Consider the following 20,498-nt stretch of genomic DNA (forward strand, 5'->3'; position numbering starts at 1 on the left):
GCATGTGTCAGACACAAAGGACAAGAGAAATGATATAAACTGAAGGGAAAGATGGAGCTTCATCGAACAGAGAACAATGTAAAAGTAGTACACTCTAATGATTTATACTGTGGCAAAAGGTCAAAAAATAAGCATGAGTTTATTTTTCTAAGTAACTAAGAACAGTGCATTATATCTGGTAATAAGGGTTTTTAAAAATAAAACCTAGCAATAAAGATGTAATAATAATGATAATCATAATCACATTAATAATGAATAAAAGAACTTGAAGGAATAAGACATTTTAAATGAAGAATTTATTTATATTCAATAATGTTTTGGGCAACCTGAAAAAGAATTTGTGTGCTGAGCAAAGTTGGTAACCTTGATACTGCTATAATTAGCTCTGTTGTCTTGGTCCACTATTAGAGCCACCTAAATAATTGTTATTTACATTTGTGAATTAAGAGTCCATTGTGTTTCAGAGTTGTAGGCCAAATACACCCAATGCTGCATACTGTGAATTCAAGAATTCACTGCTCTAAGAATGAATGAGAACATTTTTTATGTTTCTGGCTTAGTGTCTCCGGGTTGCTTATATCTACAGTGTGTTCCACAGGGCTTAGCTTATTTACCCCACCCTGGGAGACACGATTCAAATGAAATTAGAATACATTTTTTCATTACATTTTTATTTTCTGTCCTTTCATCTGAAGCCTAAGGAACTTGACATTATAAGTGGAAAGGAGCAAAAAGATGATCAATCAAGGCTTTTAAGAGCTGCAGAGAAAGAGTCTGCAATACCTTTTTTCTTTATATCCAACATAAGCAAAATACAGCAGGTAATGATGTGGGATGCAATAAAGATTTTATTATCATTTTATTGGGATGAACATCCTATCTTACTCATATTTCTACCTATGTAGTTCATTTATCCCAAACTTTTAGTAGTAAAGTTAATGGCATTCCACACTTCCTAACATTCCTGCACTATTTTGTGCTTTACGCATACGCGTATATGAAATGGCAAAATATATCAGTTCAAGGATAAACAGAACCCAAGATTAAACTAAGTTACATAATGGTAAGTTAAGAGGTACACTGTTTGTATATTTAATCAGGAAATGAAATCTTAATCACTGTTGACTTTCATCTCACATCTTCTTGCTGTGCTTCTGGAAATACCAGTTTCTTAAGGTCAATCATAATTGAAAATATAACTAACATTATTGAGCACCATTTTTTTTTGCCAGGCACTCTGCCTGGCACTTTACATTTCTTTATTTTACCAAGTCATGAGCTGCTTTTCTTATTTTATAAGAGAGGTTGTAACTTGCCTAAAGGTGCAAGGAATGACCTTATATGGATTCAAATATAGGTATTTCTGGCTGCAAATCACCTTCCACTAATAATATGCCTGGCAGAAAATGTTATTAAAATACTTTAACAACTACTGTTCTTTGTCAACCCACTAAGCCACATTTCAGGAAAAAAAAAAAGAAAAAAGAACTAGCAAGGTGATCCCTCCAATATCCTCCTGAATCTGCAGAAACAACAACAAAAAAGGGCAGACTGGGAAATTAAAACTCTGCCAAAAACAAACCCAAGCTGTCAAAGAGAAGAAATAATTAAAGAAACGATGTAACTTTCACTTATAGTAAATGAAATTATATAAAATCAGACATGTTGAGAATTACGTAAAGTAGAAATAGTGACTTTATGCACAAAAACATAATTATGAGCATTCCCATAAAATTTAAAAATTAATAAGAATTGTATAATTTTCCATATGGAAGACAGAATGATGGTGAACTGTATATCTTCTATCAGTGTAACTGGCATGCAAATGTATCCACCATTCTTTATTGGTATTTGTTTTCCATTATGTGTGGTCTTCCAGTATGAGTAACTTCATGTGAAACGTGACTATCTAATAAATATAAAATCTCCAACCTCTCTTTGTTTTAATTTTCTCATCTAAGAAATGGAAATACCACATCCCCTTTCTCATTAAGTATTCTTACTGATTATAAATAAACTCCTGGATGGGTGCAATGTCATGCACCTGTTGTTCCAGTTACCCTGGAGGCTGAGATGGGAGGATCACTTGAGCCCAGGTGTTTGAGGCTGCAGTGAGGTATGATCATGCCACTGCACTCCAGCTTGGACAAGAGACTGAGACTCCCATCTCTTAAAAAAAATTAAAAATAAAACTAAAGTAAATTCCTAGAAATAAAGGCACTTTGAACAGAATTTGCTTAAAGAAATTGTATCATTGTTAATAATTATAGTTCACTAAGGGTTATCTTAATTTGCTTCAATCAACCTGGCCAGCAACAGCTAGCATTCTTACATAGGAAGATCATGAAAAAAGATTAGAAAATTAGAAAAAAGAGGAAATCATTTTAGTATAATTCAGTTATAATTCTATTGTGTTTGTTGTTATAAATAAAACTTTTTAAAAGGGCAAGTTTGATTGAACAAAACTCCCAAATTCCTTGACTATGCAATGGCATCAGATGTCTAAGGAAAGGAAACTTATAAGACCATGTTTCTAATTACTTTAGGATTCACAAATTGCGATCATTTTTTTTTCCTACTGAAGACAACATTATCCAAGAAGAATTGCAATAATTATATATAAAATTGTTAAGGAAAGAAAACATTTACCTAAAAATAACTACTTCATTCATAGGCTAAGGATTTTGTTATTTGTTTCAAAGAACAAAAACCAATAGATATGAAAATATTTGTTAGTAAATCATTTTCAGGACACCTAGTTGCCATATTTCTGTTTCCAATTCTTTTTACGTAGGTTTCCTAATGACATCTTAAAGCATTCAACCTATAATTTACATTAATTTTTAGATTTGACCAAGGAAAAGTATTTGCTGTGAAGTCATTGAGTTCTCCTAACTTTTACATGTTAAATAATAAGAAAAGATGAGAAATTAGGTGATGACTATTATATGTTAAAAGAGACTCTCTAAGTGTTTAGAATATGCTCTGAAATTACATTAGGTATGTGGGAAATCTGCTTATGAACTCTTTCATTATTTTACCTGGGAAACTAAACAGACCTTAAATCTGGACTACTAAAGATTCACCTTGATTAGAATTTCTTAGGGTTAAATGTGGAAGGGCCCCTAGGAAACCAATTTCCTAATACAGGCTTAGCCTGGATTTATATTGGAAACAGTAAAGAAGGCAGAACTTTGCCTCTCTTCTTCTGTTGTAGATTTTGCCAAAGGGAGCTATAGGGGAGCAAACGGTGATTGTCCAAATTTGTGCCTGATATTATTGGTTCAGTTGTTTATCACTGAATAGCTTCCATGTTATTCAGGCTTTCAACAAACATTTACTAAAAGCATAGAACTGTCCAGAGTCATGCTAAGCAATAAAGACAAATATTTAAGACTTGCTTGCTGCTCCTTAAGGATCTTACTTTCTATTATATGTAGAAACAAAAACATAACTAACCAAGGAAAGAAGCTTGGACATAAGTGCGGGATAAAGTTAGAGCATTAAGGATGGGCTGGCTAACAAAATCACAATGTCATAGGACTTAAGAATGTCAAAATAATTTTACATACATTTTCTCATGAGATTTATATACAGTTTTCAAAATTAAAAAAATCACTATGCATATGACTATTTAAAAAGGAAGGTTAGAGCCAACTGTAAAAGAGATGTAGGATTCTATTTTTACCTGAGTGCCTCAAGAAGTAAAGGTAAAATGAGTTGAAGTATTTCTTGAACATGAGAAATAGGTTGAATATAAGAAAGAAGTTCTTTGCCACAAAGACAACCACCCAAAAAATGAAGACTCTGATAGTATATCCATCAGAATTCGGCATTTGATCATGAGTTAAGGAAACAAGGATTCAACATTGCTAACAAAATAAGCTTTTAAGTAGTTTCATCTACAGATCTTTGATATCCATGATATGGAATAGGCTGAGAAATATATAAATACTTGGACAAACTAACTATATACTTTTATTAAGCAAAACGTAATATAAAGTAATTTTTCTATATGTTAATTTGTTCATTTAGTCAGTCATCAAACATTTATTTCATATTCATTAGTTTAGTTAGTTTTTGAGATGGAGTCTTGCCCTGTCACCCAGACTGGAGTGCAGTGGCACGATCTCAGCTCACTGCAACCTCCACCTCCTGGGTTCAAGCAATTTTCCTGCCTCAGCCTCCTGAGCATCTGGGATCACAGGTGTGTGCCACCATGCCCAGTTAATTTTTTTTTTTTTGTATTTATATTTGTAGTAGAGACAGGGTTTCACCATGTTGGCCAGGCTGGTCTCAAACTCCTGACCTCAGGTGATCTGCCTGCCTTAGCCTCCCAGAATTCTGGGATTATAGGTGTGAGCCACCGTGCCCGGCCATCACATTTATTTGGTACCAAATGTATGTAAGGCACTATGCTATCTAATTGGAGAAAGGAAAGTAAATCAGATACAGATTCTAACAAATCTCACCTCAATAGGAGATCATTTGAAAACAACTCAGGAAATGGTAAATATCATATAAGAGGTAGAGAAAAATCGCTACAATGTCTCAAAAAGGGGAACATATTTCTAGCTTGTGTTAAGAGATGGGGGTTAGGAAAAACTTCACTGAAGAGGAGGATTTTAAGCAGGCCCTAGAAATATAAAAAAAAGGGCATTTTCAGAAAAGTGAAAGGCATTCCAGTTGAGAAAAAAAAGAATGTAGATTATCATGAACATTTGAAAAACAGAAGTTATTTCATGAAAACTCAAAACATCTCTGAAATATCAGGAGAGGTTTATCTGGGTCTGGAGAGGGAGGAACTAGTCATATAGATAATGATTTTTCAAAAGTAGGCCAAAATGTTAGATTCTGTAATGTCTCAACTGTATTATTTGATGTAACAATGCCCTGTGTACAGAATAATAGAAATGTTTTAAGCAACATTAAAATACTATAGAAGTTGGACTCAGACTCCCTTTTTAATGGTGAAGTTATTTGGATTGATTCATAATCCAAAGCATTTTTAAAGTTGGCTGGCTGGAAAATGCCAAATTAACAAGTGTTAACTAGTCTGATCTGAACTTTATTTCTTCTTGCTTGATGTTATCATTAAAAAAATAAATAATTCAGTCAAGGGCTACTTTGAAGGACATGTGAGATGAAGGCACATCTAAGAAAGCAAGTGAGAAAAATTGAGAACACAGTTTTTTATATTTAATTTTTCACATATGTCCTTACAGATGGCATTTTAAGATATTTGTAAGATATTTTAAAAGGGCCAGATGCAGTGGCTCATGCCTGTAATCTCAGCACTTTGTGGGCCACAGACAGGAGAAATGCTTGAGCCCAAGAGTTTGAAACCAATCAGTGCAATATAGCAAGACCCTGTCTCTAGAAAATATTTAAGGGGGTGGGGCCGAGATGACTGACTAGAAGCAGAGGCATTTGGAGGCTCCCATGGGAAAACAAAACAAAACAAAACAAAACATAATAAGTGTGTGAATCCTTCACCCCCAACGAAGGCCTCTGGGTTGGTGGATCATCAAAATTGACTCTCTCATCAAAATTTACTAGAAGCCTGGTGTGACCCATGGAGAGAAGGAAGAACAGTGTAGTGTGACGGCCCACCTGAGAGCCACACGGGGCAGGGGAACCCACTCCCCTAGCCAAGGGAGGCAGTGAGTGAGCGTGCTACCCAGCCAGAGAAACTGTGCTTTTTCCACAGATGTGTGGAACCCAAGATTGAAAGATCCCACTTGCGAATCTACACCACCAGGGCCTAGTGTCCCAACCTTGGATGGCACAGATTATTTTACAGCCTCTCAGCTGGAATCTGCTTAAGCCTACTGATCTCCCAGGGGGAGGGGTGACCAGCACTGGCTGGAGCTGTGGCTGCCTGCTATCTAAACAGTTTGACCTCGGAAGAGGGTGAGGGGTAGCAGCCAGCACTGGAACTGGCAACTGCCTAACAAGCTAAGCTCCCCGGTTGGGGGAAGGGCGGCATCCATCTCTATAGCTTCAGGCTGTGCTTTTCCCCCTGCTGAAGCCAAGGAGGCTGGACGGCTCTGTATCAAGACTTCTCCCCACAGCCCAACACACCAGCTGTGGTAATCTGCAGCCAGAGTGCCTCTTCAGGCCTGACCCGGACCCATCCTTCCTCACTGGGCGGGGCTTCTCTGCAGGAACTCCAATAACTCCCAGCCAGAGGCTCAGGGACAGAATCTGGATCTCCCTGGGCCTGAGCCCCAAGGGGGAGGGGTGCCTGCAGTCTCTGTGGACCAGCTGACTTAGCCTCTCCTCCTGGTAGTTCTGAGACATCCAGGCAGCCCAGACGAGTGGGTTTCCCTCCAGCTTGGAGACACACCCCGTCCACCAAGGGACAAAGTTCCCTGTTAAACGGGTCCTGTGCCCTGTGCCACCCAACTGGGTGAGACGCTCCAACAGGGGTTGTCAGACACCCTATACAGGAGTGATCCTATTGGCATCAGGTTATAGCCCCTTGAGATCAGAGGTCCCAGAAGAAGGAGCAGTCACCCACATTTGCTGTTCTCCAGCCCGCTTGAGTGACATCTCCAGGCACAGGAGTGAATCAGATGAATAGGGCCTGAAGTGAACCCCCAGCAAACTGCAGCAGCCCTACAGAAGAGGAGGCCTAACTATTGAAAGAAAAACAAACAAGCAGAAACCAACAACAACAGCATCAACAACAACAACAAAAAATGCCCCAACGAAAACCTCATCCAAGGGTCAGCATGGCCTCAAAGACCGAAACTAGACAAACTCACAAAGATAAGAAAAAAAAATCAAAGAAAAAATGCTGAAAACTCAAAAAGCTAGAGTGCCTCTTCCCCTTCAAATGATCATAATGTCTCTCCATCAAGGGTCCAGAACTGGATGGAGGATCAAATCGGCGAATTAACAGAAGAAGGCTTCAGAATATGGGTAATCAAAAACTATGTTGAGCCAAAGGAAATGTTCTAACCCAATGCAAAGAAGCTCAGAACCTTGACAAAAGGTTAGAGGAATTGCCACTAGAACAACCAGTTTAGAGAGGAACATAAACGACCTGATGGTGCTGAGAAACACAATACAAGATCTTCGTAAATTATACACAGGTATCAACAGCCAAATCAACCAAGCAGAAAAAAAGATATCATAGCCTGAAGACCACCTTGCTGAAATAAGACATGCAGAGAAGAAAAGGGAAAAAAGAATGACAAGGAATGAACAAAGCCTCCAAGAAATATGGGACTTCATAAGAAGACTGAACCGACGATTGATTTGAGTACCAGAAGGAGATAGGGAGAATGGAAACAAGCTGGAAAACACATGTCAGGATATTATCCAGGAGAATTTCCCCAATCTAGCAAGACAGGCCAACATACAACTTCAGGAAATGCAGAGAACACCATTAAGATACTCCACGAGAAGATCAACCCCAAGAAACATAATCATCAGATTCTCCAAGGTCAAAATGAAGGAAAAACTCTTGAGGGCAGCCAGAGAGAAATGTCAGGTCACCTACAAAGGGAAGCCCATCAGACTAACAGTGGACCTATCAGCAGAAACTCTACAAGCCAGAAGAGATTGGGGGTCAATATACAACATTCTTAAAGAAAAAAATTTCAACCCAAAATTTCATATCCAGCCAAACTAAGCTTTATAAGCGAAGGAGAAATAAAATCATTTCCAGACAAACAAAAGCTGAGGGATTTTGTTGCCACCAGGCCTGCCCTGCAAGAGATCCTGAAAGAAGCACTAAATATGGAAAGGAAAATCTACTACCAGCCACCGCAAAAACACACCAAAATATAAAAGATCAATGACACTATGAAGAAACTGCATCAACTAGTATGCAAAACAACCAAATAGCAGCATAATGACAGGATCAAGTTCACACATAACAACAATAATCTGAAATATAAATGGCTAAATACTCCAGTTAAAAGACACAGACTGGCAAATTGTAAAAGGAGTCAAGACCCATTGGTGTGCTGTATTGAGGAAACCCATCTTATGTGCAAAGACATACATAGGCTCAAAATAAAGGAATGGAGGAAAATTTACCAAGCAAATGGAAAGCAAAACAAACAAACAAACAAAAAAAGCAGGGGTTGCAATCCTAGTCTCTGACAAAACTGACTTTAAACCAATAAAGATCAAAAGAGACAAAAAAGGGAATTACATAATGGTAAAGGGAATAATTCAACAAGAAGAGCTAAGTATTCTAAATATCTATGCCCTATGCCCTAATACAGGAGCACCCAGATTCATAAAACAAGTTCTTAGAGACCTACAAAGAGACATAGACCACAATAATATTGGGATACTTTAACACCCACCTGTCAGTATTAGACAGATCAATGAGACAGAAAATTAACAAGGATATTCAAGACTTAAACTCAGCTCTAGACCAAGTGGACCTAGTAAACATCTACAGAACCCTCTACCCCAAATCAATAGACTATACATTCTTCTTAGTGCCACATGGCACTTATTCTGAAATTGACCACATAATTGGGAGTAAAACACTCCTCAGCAAATGCAAAATAACTGAAATCATAACAGTCTCTCAGACCACAGTGCAATCTAATTCAAATTCAGAATTAATAAAGTCACTCAAAACCACACAGTTACATGGAAATTGAACAACCTGCTCCTGAATGACTCCTGGGTAAATAATGAAATTAAGGCAAAAATCAAGAAGTTCCTTGAAACCAATGAGCATAAAGAGACAATGTACCAGAATTTCTGGTACACAGCTAAAGCAGTGTTAGGAGGGAAATTTATAGCACTAAATGCTCACATCAGAAAGCTAGAAAAATCTCAAATTGACACCCTAACATCACAATTAAAGGAGCAAGAGAAGTAAGAACAAGCTAATCCAAAAGCTAGCAGAAGACAAGAAAAAAACTAAGATCAGAGAAGAACTGAAGGATATAGATGCACGAAAAACCCTCCAAAAAAAAAAAAAATCAATGAATCCAAGGGCTGGGTTTTGAAAAAAATCAAAAAAATAGACCACTAGCTAGACTCATAAAGAAGAAGAGAGAGAATAAAATAGACACAATAAAAAATGATAAAAGGGATATCACCACTGATCCCACAGAAATACAAACCACCATCGGGGAATACTATAAACACCTCTATGCAAAAAAATTAGAAAACCTAGAAGAAATGGATGAATTGCTGGACAAATACACTCTACCATGACTAAACTGGAAGAAATTGAATCCCTGAATAGACCAAAAACAAGTTCTGAAATTGAGGCAGTAATTAATAGGCTACCAACAAAAAAAACCCAGGACTAGATAGAGTTACAGCTGAATTCTACCAGAAGTACAAAGAGGAGCTGGTACCATTCCTACTAAAACTATTCCAAACAATTGAAAAGGGGGGACTCCTCCCTAACTCATTTTATGAAGCCAGCATCATCCTGATACCAAAACCAGGAAGAGACACAACAAAAAAAGAGAACTTCAGGCCAATATCTCTGAAGAACATCAATGCGAAAATCCTCAATAAAACACTGCAAACCGAATCCAGGAGCACATCAAAAAACTTATCCACCACGATCAAATCAGCTTCATCCCTGGGATGCAAGGCTGGTTCAACATATGCAAATCAATACATGTAATCCATCATGCAAACAGAAGCAAAGACAAAAACCACATGATTATCTCAATACATGCAGAAAAGGCCTTTGATAAAATCCAACATCCCTTCATGTTAAAAACTCTTAATAAACTAGGTACTGATGGAACATATCTCAAAATAATAAGGGCTATTTATGACAAACCCACAGCGTCAGTATCATTCAGTATCATATTGAATGGGCAAAAGCTGGAAGCATTGCCTTTGAAAACTGGTATAAGACAAGGATGCCTCTCTCACCACTCCTATTCAACATAGTATTGGAAATTCTGGCCAGGGCAATCAGGCAAGAGAAAGAAATAAAGATTATTCACACAGGAAGAAAGGAAATCAAATCATCTCTGTTTCCACATGACATTATTTTATATTAAGAAAACCCCAACATCTCAGCCTAAAAACTCCTTGAACTGATAAGCATCTTCAGCAAGTCTCAGGATACAAAATCAATGTGTGAAAATCACAAGCATTCTTTTACACTAACAATAGGCAAGCAGAGGGCCAAATCATGAATGAACTTCCATTCAAAATCATTACAAAGAGAATAGAATACCTAGGAATACAGCTAACAAGGGATGTGAAGGGCCTCTTCAAGGAGAACTACAAACCACTGCTCAAGGAAATAAGAGAGGATCCAAACAAATGGAAAAACATTCCATTCTCACGGACAGGAAGAATCAATATTGTGAAAATGGCCATACTGCCCAAAGCAGTTTATAGATTCAATGCTATTCCCGTCAAACTACCATTGACATTCTTCACAGAATTTGGAAAAAAAAAACTATTTTAAATTTTATATGGAATCAAAGAAGACCCTGTATAGCCAAGACAATCCTAAGCAAAAAGAACAAAGTTGGAAGCATCACGCTACCTGACTGCAAACTATACTACAAGGCTACAGTAACCAAAACAGCATGGTATTGGTACCAAAACAGACATATAGACCAATGGAGCAGGACAGACACCTTAGAAATAATGCCACACATCTGTAACCATCTGATCTTCGACAAACCCGACAAAAACAAACAATGGGCAAAGGAACTCCTATTTAGTGAATGATGCTGGGAAAACCGGCAAGCCATATGCAGAAAACTGCAACTGGACCCCTTCCTTACACCTTATACTTAAGATGGATTAAAGACTTAAATGTAAAACCCCAAACCATAAAAACCCTAGAAGAAAAACTAGGCAATATCATTCAGGACACAGGCATGGGCAAAGACTTCATGACAAAAATGCCAAAAGCAATTGCAACAAAAGCCAAAATTTACAAATGGGATCTAATTAAACTAAAGAACTTCTGCACAGCAAAAGAAACTATCATCAGAGTGAACAGACAATCTACAGAATGAGAGAAAACTTTTGCAATCTACTGATCTAAGGTCTAATATCCTGAATTTATAATGAACTTAAACAATATTTACAATTAAAAAAAAAAAACAACTCCGTCAAAAAGTGGCCAAAGATATGAACAGACACTTCTCAAAAGAAGATATTTATGTGGGCAACATGTGAAAAAAAGCTCAACATCACTGATCATTAGAGAAATGCAAATCAAAGCCAAAATGAGATACCATCTCATGCCAGTCATAATGGCAATTAGTCAGGAAATAATAGATGCTGGCGAGGCTGTGGAGAAATAGGAATGCTTTTACACTGTTGGTGGGAATGTAAATTCGTTCAACCATTGTGGAAGACATTGTGGAAGGCAATTCCTCAAGGATCCAGAACCAGAATTACCATTTGACCCAGCAACCCCATTACTGGGTGTATACCCAAAGGAATATAAGTTATTCTACTATAAAGACACATGCACACATACCTTTATCACAGTACTATTTAGCAAAGACCAACCCAAATACCTAATGATAGACTGGATAAATAAAATGTGGTACATATATGCCATGGAATACTATCCAGCCATAAAAAGGAATGAGATCATGTCCTTTGCAGTGACATAGATGAAGCTGGTAGCTATCATACTCAGCAAACTAACACATAAGTAACACATAAGTTTCTGTGAACAGAAAACCAAACACTGCGTGTTCTCACTCATAAGTGGGTGTTGAACATTGAGAACACATGGACACAGAGAGGGGAACAACATACACCAGGGCCTGTTGGGGAGCGGGGGATGAGGGGAGGGAACTTAGAGGACGGGTCAATAGGTGCAGCAGATCACCATGACACATGTATATCTATGTAGTAAACCTACACGTTCTGTACATGTATCCCTCTTTTTTTTTAGAAGAAGAAGAAATTTAAAAAAATTTTAAACATTAGCCAGGTTTAGTTGTACATGCCTATGGTTCCAGTTAGTTGAGAGGCTGAGGAGAGAGAAAACCTTGAGTGTAGGAAATCAAGGCTGCAGTGAGGTATAATCCTGCTACTGCATGCCAGCCTAGGCAGCAGAGTGAGCCCCTGTCTCAAAAAAAAAAAAAAAAAAGCTTCAGTCTGACCCTGAAGCATACATTAATACTCAGGTCTTTTCTTTTTTTTTTTTAAATTTTTTTGTAGAGATGGAGTCTTGCTGTTTTGCCCAGGTTGTTTTCGAACTCCTGACCTCAAGCAATCCTCCTGTCTCTGCCTCCCAGAGTGCTGGGATAACAAACATAAGCCACCATGCCCAGCCAATCCTCAGTTATTTTCTAATACTAGATAATCTAATTGCTCACTTATTACATTATTTTTCCAATTAAAGGTGTAAGATTTAGACATTAAATTTAAGTTATAAGTGTTTCCTTGAACACCTAATTGTAACTGCAACTAGAACAGTGATCATTGGTGACTATTGAAAGTTCAGTGATTTTTAAATATATTTTCAATCTGTAAAGTAGTAGCATAGCCCAGATTGCATAGGATGAAAAATGGAAGATCACCTAAATCTTTTCAAATCCTTGGATGAAAACATCCTAGAAGAATGACTTGGTTTTTGTCTGTGTGTTGTTTCTTTTGCTGTATGATTTGGGGGATTATCACCACAATAGGGGTGACCTACACTACCAGGGAAAATATTCTGCCAAATCAAGGGTGATTTCTGTATTAATTCACTACTCTTCTTCGTTTAGCCCAGTTCCTGGAATACGGTCAGTTTTAAATAAATATCTCATAAATTAATAGATGGGAAATTGAATTACATAAGGAAAATTATTCCAACAATTAGAACAGTCTGGAAGTGGATTGAGCTGCGCTGGGGAGTAATGATCACCGTACCATGACACAAGTAACTTCTCATGGCTGGATGTGATGGAGGATATCCAAGCACCTGGCAGGCATTTGTAGAGATCCCCGCTAAAGCCCCCTTCAGCTATAGGATTCTATGATTCTTTTCCTGTGAAAATTTGGAACACGTGATAGTGTATTACCTCTCGCAGATCATAGGGGCACCATTTAATAACTTACTACATTAATGTATTAAATTGTACTTTTGTGACTTCAATAAATTCAGTGCTTCTAAAGCATGATTACTGTATTCTCCTGGCAGGACACAAGTTGTTTCTTAGTCAGTCTTCATAAACTATTATATCACTGTCATGCTTACTTTAGAAGTAGCAAAATCAAGGCAGGAAGGAATGCAGAGCTTCTTACACCTCAGCCTTAGACATAATGATTTCCAGAATTTCAAAGAATATTCCACAGAGCCCAGATATCGTAAATAAAGTGTCTGTCCAATTGTAAAGCCCATATTATTGAGTATAGTTACAATTTTCCTGGTGATAATTGCATACATAAACGGGGGAAAAAATAGATCATCTACTTAAAAAGTGTTTAGCCAAAAGAAATCAGTCAGCTGGGCGCAGTGCCTCATGCCTGTAATCCGAGCACTTTGGGAGGCTGAGGCAGATGGATCATGAGGTCAAGAGCTTGAGACCAACCTGAACAACATGGTGAAATCCTGCCTCTACTAAAAATACAAAAAAATTAGCTGGGCGTGGTGGCACATGCCTGTTAATCCCTGTTACTCAGGAGGCTGAGGCAGGAAAATCACTTGAACCCAGGAGGCAGAGGTTGCAGTGAGCCAATATCGTGCCATTGCACTCCAGCCTGGGTGACAGGGCGAGAGTCCTTCTCAAAAAAAAAAAAAAAGAAAAAAAGAAAAAAAAAATCAGTCACTGCCCACCATCTTTGCTTGAAGAAAATCTCCCAGAGCACAGTGAATGCTAGATGAGAAGTGACTGTGTATTCCATTAGGCCTTATGTATGTATATACCCAAAGGCCTAGTCATTGGTATTTAGTAGTGAGTTCATCAATGAAATATTAGAAATGTTCCCAATTTATACATACTTAAAAGCTAGGATAGAAAAATGAAAACTTCCAAAACTAAAATATTTCATTTTGAACTCAAATTCATTTACTTCAATGCCCTGTTGACTGATGCAATTTTAGATTATAACAGCAAGAACCAAGTGTACGCTGCCTGAAGAAGTAATAAGTAAGGAACATTTTGAAGGAAGCCCTAGAGACAGGAAGGAACTTAGGTAAAGGTTTCTGCGTATGTGCAAAATTACCCATAAGTAAAATGAACCAGTGTGTCAAAATGTAATTCTATAATTCCCAGGGCAACATCTAAAGGAACTGAGTTGTAAGCAATACATTTGCAATACATGACGATTTGAGTTTCCAGAAAACTCAGATCAGTCCCAGGAGATCCTCTTTACGGTGTATTCATGAAACAATACAGATTATTAATTATGAGGATACGCTTTTTCTTTAACCAGTGACATTCTAAATATTAACGAGAAACAAACAAAACTATATTGGATATACCTATACATAGGTCGGCTTTTTCTTTTCCATGGATGCCAATTTATTTACTCTTCTTCTTTCTAAATGCAGCTGTAAACGATCTCTGCACAAACTATCCCGGTACAAGCAGAACAGATTCAGTGAATAATAACTCATTGAAATTGAGGCAGTTACAGTCACATTTGCACTCCTCGAAGCTGGCAGTTTCATTCTCTAGAGACAGGTGCATTTATCACATTCACAACCATAGTAAAATGAAATCATCAACTAAAGGGACTTTAGCTCATTCATTTTCCTCCAGGAGAGCCACTGAACATTTTAAATATTTAAAAAGAAGATCTCCAGCCTCTATTTTTTTTGAAAGAAAGAAGAAAGCCCAGAGAAGTCAACGGGGAGTGTCAAGATATTCCATGGTACAGTCAGAGACAAGGACATTATGAGTACTGAACGATTGCATTAATATGGCATGTATGAACTAATAATAAATCAGAATCTGGGGGTGGAAGGTGAGCAGAATAGACTAGCATAAAATTTGAATGTTGAATTCAAATTAATAAAATTTGGTGTTGAATTTAGTCATTTTCTTTCTCTATAAATTGTTCTTTGCTTAAGTGTACTCTTAATTTCATAAGGAAAACATATCAGGTTTCACTTTTTTTTTTTTTTTTTTGAGACGGAGTGCAGTGGCGTGATCTCGGCTCACTGAAAGCTCCGACTCCTGGGTTCATGCCATTCTCCTGCCTCAGCCTCCCAAGTAGCTGGGACTACAGGCACCCACCACCACACCCGGCTAACTTTTTTGTATTTTTAGTAGAGACAGGGTTTCACCGCATTAGCCAGGATGGTCTCTGTCTCCTGACCTCGTAATCCACCCGTCTGGGCCTCCCAAAGTTCTGGGATTACAGGCGTGAGCCACCGCGCCCAGCCTGGATTTTACTTCTTTCTCTTTACTGTTTTGATTTCGGGAATAAGAAACATTTGACCTTGTCACCAAGTTCTTCTGGCTTTGAGCACTGGTATTCAAGATACTTTGACTAGGAATCCTTACTTTCTATAATCTCAGTTAGAAATGTGGACATTAAAAAATTATCATTTTAGGCACTAATTTAGATCTACAAAATGAGTCTTCTATGTACATAAATAGTTTTTTTAAGTAAAATAAATTACATCACATGGATGGAGTAAAGAAAGACATGAATATTTCTCCTGGATTACATGATAAAGATTACAAACTCATTGATGAATTAATTACAATGGCAACTTCTTGGACGTAACTAAACCCCAATTTTGCAGAGCACTATCAACCTGCTTTTAAGACACATACAAATACATGATCTCTAAATAATTTGATCAACTTAATAAGCATTTTTGTCCTTGTTACCACAGTTTAGGGAATTCTGGTGTGGACTGAGAAATATCAGTGTTTTGAAATTAATTTGATGGCTAAGCATAATGCTCCAAATATGTGAGGACAAACCTTAGAGTCTTCCTACTTCCTCATATTCCCTAGATGGTGCCAACATATCCTTAGATCCTTTGAAAGACCATATAAAAATAATAGAAATATGAAGAGCAGTAGGCATACTACTTAACAAAAATCATTTCTTCTGTTACAGGTTTCCCGAACATAAAGTTAACCTAAACACAACAGACTGCACAAAGCACAAAACTTCACGGCAAACACCTTCGAGTTTTGAAAATGAGACATTTGTTGTTTATACTAAAGTCACTGAAGTTTCACAGATAAAGAGAAAGAATTGCTCTCAAGATCTCAATGATGCTTATCCAAATGGGAGAAGGCAGTAATTACACATTGAAATGTAAACAGATTAGCCTTTGGGCTTCCAGAGCACAGATAAACTCATCAGATCTGACTGTTTATATTAGTTATTGGAATACTTCTGCTTAAATACTTAACACCTCTCATCTAAATGTACCAGGTATCCTGATAAGTGTATACATGTCCCATGAAAGTGTTTGAAAACTGATGATGATCATGGATTGTATGCTGTTCACTGTCTCTAGTAGCATCATATGCAAATAAGGCTTTTTGTTTTCCAGGTTGAAGCACTCTCTATGAACTTTCACAGACTTGCATTTTCTTCTCTCCACTAAAACCTCTCAGTTATCTCTCTGACACTGCTCCCGATAATGGAAAAGATTTCTGCTTATTAGGATAATCTCCAATCCCTAGCTCATCTACTTCCATGTGAGAATTGTTTAAAAACGATTTTGCCCTAGGTAATACACTTTAAGCTCCCCAATGACTTTTCCCATCTCACTTCTTGACTAGTAGTTTCTTTTTCTGATACATACAGATATTGATTACATCTTTTATTTTTTTGGTATCAAAACACCTATCTAGGTAGGTGGGAGGATGGGAGGGTAAAATCTTTAAAGTAATGACCAGGTAAAAATATCTTCATGGGAGAAAGAAAACCTATAGCTATATTTTCAAGTTCAGCCACCACACAGCAAATAGTCTAAAATAGCTTTCCCTAAAACATGAATATTTCTTTAAAAATAATCTATCCATGAAAAAAATTGGGTCTGAAAATCTTCTTTAACACTGAGTTATAGATAATTACGATGCTTCAACCCTTCAAGGAGTCTCAAGCCTTTAATTCATATGCTTGCCATATCATGTCTTTATAATGACATTCAGAGACACTAGGTTCAGCAGTTTTTCCCTTTCCTTTGTCATTCATTACATTCCAAACATTTGTGTCCTACAATATATGTAGGGCAACTGGCTTTATAACTATTCTTAGCTCTATAAAGCCAGATATAACTATTCCATAGCAATTGCTGTTTTACTTTTTAAATATTTCATCACTTTATTTGCTAGCTAAAATTTTACCACAAGGATGGCTCAAGTTTTAAAAATGGTATGGAAAATACATATAAAATTAATTGTTACAAGTTTCTAATTCAAAAGAGTAATGTCAAATATATGAACGACCTTCATTCCTCAATTTTTCTTTCCCTAAGGGAATCTCTAAAAATTAAAATATGTTCACTGGCTTGAAAATTCAGATTTCCTCATAAATTTATCTCAGGAGTTGTCATAATAGGTTTTTATTTTTTATTTTTAAAAAGGGCTTTTCTCTAAGAAGTAAGGCTATATTCCTGTCTTAGTCTATTTCATGTTCCACGCCTCAGTGTACTGACCAAACAGGGCATTGATAGTTAATTAGTTCAGAAATGTAAGCTGTATCATTCAAGAATTAAAGCAAACTGAAGAAAACAAGGAATTCATGAGACGCACAAGTTGTTCCTGCTGCTGTTTGTGTTGTTATTGCAGGTAGTGTTGTGTGGTTGCTAGGGTAGCAGTGTGTGTATTACTGATAGGCATAGTATTATTTGGCCACAGTCTTTCTCATGAGTAGATAGTGTCTGTAGATTGATCGTTGACACTAGCAAAGAGAGGCACTAGTTTTACCAGAGAGAAAATGAGAAATAAATAATTCTCCACAAGAAAGCAGTTAGTTATATTTGTGTGGCTCTGAAATCTTGTCAGCCTGAACACAGTATTTGAAGATTTTTTTTTTTTTCTGTGAACTTTACCCTGGGAAGGTGTAAAGATAAAATATACCATATGTGTTACAGTATTGTGAAAATTGTTGAAGTAAAATCCAGTTGCTCAGAAAGGGAATACGAAATTTATCAAACATCTATTGAAGCATTTTAAAAAAATTAGTTTGAGGATTCTGACCAAAAGCAATACCTGAAATCTTGATAATAACCTATTAAACTTTTTTTTTTTTTTTTTTTTTTTTTTGAGACGGAGTTTTGCTCTGTCACCCAGGCTAGAGTGCAGTGGCCTGATCTCGGCTCACTGCAACCTCCGCCTCCTGGGTTCACGCCATTCTCCTGCCTCAGCCTCCTGAGTAACTGGGACTACAGGCACCCGCCACCATGCCTGGCTAATTTTTTTGTATTTTTAGTAGAGAGGGGGTTTCACCGTGTTAGCCAGGATGGTCTGGATTGCCTGACCTCGTGATCCGCCCCCTTTGGCCTCCCAAAGTGCTGGGATTACAGGCGTGAGCCACCACGCCCGGCCAACAATAATCATTTTTATAAATTCAAGTCAAGTGAACTTCTAATGTCAAACAGTTTGGAGAAAGGAAGACTTATTTCGCAACTGAAAAATTGTATGGAAATCTGGAATGAGTAGCAAGCTGAATATAAATGAATAAAGCAAATAAAAATAAAGCCTAGTAAATGTTTCAGATACCTCTAAGGAGAGAAAGAAGTCATAGTGATTGATCCAAAGGTTACAAACAGAGATACTAAACACAGAATAAGATGGTACTTGGGAAAATACAAGAAGTTTTGCTTATGGCAAAACAAATGAAATACCGATCATCAAGTGGTAGAACAAGCAGGAAATGAAAAAATAACAGATCTAAGAGGACCAACCCTCCAAAAATCAGTTGAGAGTTTGAAAAATAAGACAGAAATAAGAATACTGTTATCAATGAAGTTGACTCTGATAAATTCTTACCTAAAAACACTATGTTTTCTTTTATATTACAAATAAAAGTATGTATAATTATATACAATATAAAATAATTATATATATAAACTATGAAATGATATGTATTCACTCAATATATCATTGAAACAGTTTCAGTGAAATTGTTTTGAAGGTAAATATAAGAATATTTTATTTATTTATTCTTTGAGACTTAGTCTTGCTCCGTCGCCAGGCTGGAGTGCCGTGGCACTATCTCGGCTCACTGCAACTTCTGCCCCCCAGGTTCAAGTGATTCTCCTGCCTCAGCCTCCCAGGTAGCTGGGACTACAGCCATGCACCACCATGCCCGGCTAATTTTTTTTTTTTTAGTAGCGATGGGGTTTCACTGTGTTAGCCAGGATGGTCTTGATCTCCTGATCTCATTGAACAGGCTGAGTCGCAGCAGAAAATTTTTGTGGCAGCCGGCAAATAACTTGAGCCTAGGAATTTGAGACTAGCTGGGCTACATGGTAAAGCCCTGTCTCTACAAATTTCCCCCCAACGTTAGCCAGGCATGGTGGCACATACCTGTAGTCTCAGCTACTCAGGAGGCTGAGGAGGGAGGATCACTGGAGCCCGGGAGACAAAGGTTGCAGTGAGCTGTGATAGTGCCACTGCCCTCCAGTCTGGGTGACAGAGTGAGACCTTGTCTCAAAAAAGAAAAAAAAAAAGAAGATAATTTTTTCAACTACCATCTAGGAAAGAGCTGAGATGGAATGGTCAAGTGATTAGACAAAAGAGAAGTGAGATGAGAGAGCCTTTCCTTGATGTCTCTTATAGAATAGAAAGGAGCCAGATTTGGTAAGAGATCCAATTGTGGCAAAGGACCAACGATGTTAAGAATCGACCATACTAATTTATGCAGACGGAACACAGCCTATTCCTATTTTAGCCACAAGAAATATTTCATAATTTAAAGGGGGAAATGTCTGTCAAATATTTACAACTTTTAATATTTATGATATGTATATATTTTTATTAATGAACAGTTGTATAATCCAAATTACCTATAGCTAAATGTACAACATACACACACATGCATGCACACCTTCAAACACACACACAACTATCATGAAGTGATTAACAACATTTAAGTCAAGTGAGATGATTTAGGTATAGGTAATGTTAACATGAGGCAAAATTCTGCAACATGGATGACTCTTGAGGACGTTATGTTAAGTGAAATAAGCCAGTCACAAATAATTATAAAAATGATGTATAATTCCATTTATATGAGATACCTACAGTAATCAAATTCATAGAGACAGACAGTAGAATGGTGGTTGCCAGGGGCTGGATGTGGGGAGGGAGAGATGCGGAGTTGTTGTTCAATGGGTACAGAGTTTCAGTTTTGCAAGATGAAAAGGTTCTGGAGAGCTGACTCACAAAAAATGTGAATATATTTAACACTACTGAACTATACACCTAAAAATGGCTAAAATGGTAAATTTTATGTCATGTGTTTTTTAATAAAATTTAAAAATTAGGAAAAACTTGTGAAATTAGAGAAAAACGGTCTTTTCTCTTTCCCTCGCACAACCTGTTATCCCTTGTAATATTTCCGATGTTCTTATTCTTTGCCACAGTCTACTCACC

General features: G+C 37.2%; 1 protein-coding gene across 3 annotated transcripts in view, besides 1 other annotated feature; it reads right to left on the reverse strand.

The window, feature by feature from the left end:
• The window catches only part of LRP1B (LDL receptor related protein 1B), a 1,899,594-nt gene that overhangs the window by 1,333,267 nt on the left and 545,829 nt on the right, over window positions 1-20,498 (reverse strand). The window lies entirely within an intron of this gene.
• Window positions 5,490-6,128: an enhancer, noted in NCBI's record as "NANOG-H3K27ac-H3K4me1 hESC enhancer chr2:142327748-142328386 (GRCh37/hg19 assembly coordinates)". NCBI's record gives its function as "activates a minimal SCP1, AML or CMV promoter by ChIP-STARR-seq in naive H9 embryonic stem cells {active_cell/tissue: H9 hESC(naive)}" and the evidence as "EXISTENCE:reporter gene assay evidence [ECO:0000049][PMID:30033119]".

Source organism: Homo sapiens, chromosome 2 (genome assembly GCF_000001405.40).
Source record: "Homo sapiens chromosome 2, GRCh38.p14 Primary Assembly".
NCBI lineage: Eukaryota > Metazoa > Chordata > Mammalia > Primates > Hominidae > Homo > Homo sapiens.